The sequence below is a fragment of the Homo sapiens genome, chromosome 1, assembly GCF_000001405.40.
Source record: "Homo sapiens chromosome 1, GRCh38.p14 Primary Assembly".
NCBI classification, from domain to species: domain Eukaryota; kingdom Metazoa; phylum Chordata; class Mammalia; order Primates; family Hominidae; genus Homo; species Homo sapiens.
Window position 1 is genome coordinate 91,122,948 of NC_000001.11, and position 3,197 is coordinate 91,126,144.

A 3,197-nucleotide genomic window follows, 5' to 3' on the forward strand; every position below is an offset into this window, starting at 1 on the left:
CATGCAAGTTCATTAAAATATTTGATGTTTAAATATCCTTTATTTCATTATAAAAAACTATAAAAATATAGTTTTTAAAAAGTATCTTTACCTTGCAATATAAGAAGTTGGCATCTTAATCCATTCACTCGGGATTTCTGCCAGCATAGCCAGGAATATTTGGATTAGGTGACTGCAGCAAAATAAGAGGTGTATTCTCTTTGGTTTTCAGGTCTTTTATTTGGTTTGTGGTTTCAGTTAATTTAGGAATAAGAACTGAAATGTGTAAAACAGAATATTAAAGTCCATGCTATTCAATCTCGTTTTTGTAATTTGTTTCAAGAGAGAACATTAGCATTTGATGGCATCCAGGTTTTTGTGGATTTTCTTCCTCATCTGCCTACCGCATCTGCCTTTGTTGCCCTTTGATTACTTGGGTGTCTGGTGACATGGGTTATGGGAGGTCTTTGATTGAGGATGCAGATACAACAACTGAACCTGGTTAGAGTCCCGTTTTTCTGTTTAGAGGTTTGTCCAACAGGCAGAGCCAGGAGAAGGGAACTTTGGAGCCAGCACACCAATGTCCCACTCTGCCCAAGGGTCAGTGACTTCCAGAATCAGCAGGAGGGACAGGTGAGGCAGCTGAGAAAGACTACAGCCTGTGGCTTTATATAAAGAGAAAAGCAAAAGGAAAAGAGAAAGTGAGAGGAAGGAAGGGAGGAGGGAAGGAAGGAAGGGAGGGAAAGGAGGGAGGGAGAGAAAAAAGAAGGGATTATTATCTGAGCCAGACAAGCCATTTTAAAAAAATCCCTATGGCTCTCTGGAGAAAAATACAAAACAGTTAAAATTTGGGAGCTACATTGTGAGGGACACCTGTTGTATTTAGAGGCAGAATTATTTAAATAGCAGCACCCCAGGCACCACTTCAGGTATATATAAGCTGTTATTTTGCACTGGAAACTTGAGCCACGGGGAGGAAGAAGGAAAAAGAGCCTGGGTAAACTAGCTAAATCTGAGGTCGAGTAGACAAAGGTCATGGCTGTCTGCTGCTGCAAGCCTCGGATACCTGGTAACTTCAGCAAAAGCGCCCTGAGTAGGCACTCTAGCTCAATCTCTCATCCCTGCCAGACAGTCATCTGGTTCCATTTTGAGCCAGCTAGCAAAAGCCAAGGTTTCACCCCTTCATAAGTTTGCAAAGTCTTTAGTATAACCTGTAGTTGTAGAGCCTGTAACCATTTTGATTCTTGTGAATCTTTTCATGTAAATCAGGAGTGGTTGAAAACCCAAACAAGGCCTTTCTAGCAGCTTTCTGGGCTGCCCGCTTCTTGGAAGAGTTGAGGAGAAATATTATGCCAGAATATCTGAGGTGTTTGCAAATGTGACGCTAGGAAGATGAGCTAATTGTGGAAGAGAATCTCTTTGCCTATCCTTACCGGAAATAGGCCCATGTCTTTTGGACTGGAAGCAAGACTGTGGATGCAAGTGGGGAGAGAGCCACACCTCTCACCTTCATATATTATAGCAATAGCAGGAAAAATCCTGATGATATGCAGTGTTGGTGGTGGTTGTATTTGTGGTGTAGGCAAGGGGTTTTAGTCACTGTAATGAAGTTTGTGACTAAATGCTGGAGTTAGCTCCAGCTGTATGCTCAAAGGAGAGGAAAGTTTAAGCTACAAATGTCTTATGTCCGGAGTAGCCTCCCAAATAGTTTTCTTGCCTCCGGGGCACTGAAGCCTGCTTTAATGGCTCATAACAGCTAATTGTGCATGCCTCTTCATAGTGTTCAGTGACATCAAATTTGCAAGCTTGAAATTAGCCATGGTGGAAATATTTACACTACAGAAATTGGCAAGCACCATGAGTCAAGGCGTTTGGGTTTTCCCTGAAGATCTGATTTGTCAGCACAGTACTTCACCATGTGCACTCCCATCCCCCTACATTTTACTCCACAGCTGCCGTGATCTATCCAAAGATAAAGCTGATCATTGTCACCAATTGTTTAAACCATTCATTGTCTTCCCATTGCTCTGAAAAAGCCCACAATCTTTACCACAGCTTATGAGACCAGCCTACATGATCTGGCCCTAGAGGTCTCCTCAGCCTTTTTCTGCATTACATCTTATCTCACTGTATGTGCTCTATTAGTTCATTCAATCGAACTACAGTTTCTCACCACAAGTTCTTTGCACATAGTGTTTCCAGCCATTTGTGGCTCACCAAATATTCACAAACTGTCTCACATTTTCTAGCCCACTTGCAGTTGGGTGGGGCCATGTGACCAGTTCTGCCAAGTGAGCAGTGAGTGGCAGTGACACACAGAAGAATATTGAAGAGTGGTGTGCCGTCTTCCAGCTTTCTCTTCTGCAGCTGCAATCCTAGAGGCCATGTGTTGAGACAGCAGAACCGCACAATGGAGTAACCTGGATTGCTGAGTCAGCACATGGAGGACAGCTGTCTTTAGAAACTTGCTTGATGGTGCATGAGTGGGAAATAAACATTTGTGGTGTTAAGCCACTGAAATTCAAGACAACTTTGTTACTGCAAAATAATTTATCCCAGTAGTTCTCAAACATTTTGGTCTCAGGATCCCTTTAAACTCTTAAAATTTATTGATGATCCCAAAGAGCTTTGGTTTATGTGGGTTACATCCATCAATATTTCCATATCAGAAATCAAAACTGAGAAAATTTTAAGATGTGTATATATTAATTTTAAAATAACAATAATAAAACAATTACAGTTTAACCTAAATATTTTTATGAAAAACAGCTAGCTGCCAAAACAAACTCATGGCAGTGTTTTATATTTTTGCAAATCTCTGGATTAATTGAAGACAGCTGAATTCTGATATCTGCTTCTGCATTTAATCAGTTGCAGTCTGTTTTGTTGTTGTTTTTGTTGTTGAGATATGTGAAGAAAATCTGGCCTCACACAGATAACATAGTTGAAAAGAAGTGTATTTTAGTATCCTCTTCTGATAATCGTGGATATTCTTTTTAGACACTACATCAAAACTCTTTAAGTGGTAGTTTCTTTTTATTTCTTTTTTCTTTTCTTTTCTTTTTTTTTTGTCCTTTTTTTTAAATTTATTTTTATTTTTTATTGAGACAGAGTCTCTCTCTGTTGCCCAGGCTGGAATCTTGGCTCTCTGCAACCTGTGCTGCTCGGGTACCATCGATTCTCATGCCTCACCTCCTGAGTAGCTGGGATTACAGGCG

At 40.5% G+C, this 3,197-nt stretch overlaps 1 annotated feature.

Moving 5' to 3' along the window:
- Positions 607–1,348: an enhancer, noted in NCBI's record as "NANOG-H3K4me1 hESC enhancer chr1:91589111-91589852 (GRCh37/hg19 assembly coordinates)". NCBI's record gives its function as "activates a minimal SCP1, AML or CMV promoter by ChIP-STARR-seq in primed H9 embryonic stem cells {active_cell/tissue: H9 hESC(primed)}" and the evidence as "EXISTENCE:reporter gene assay evidence [ECO:0000049][PMID:30033119]".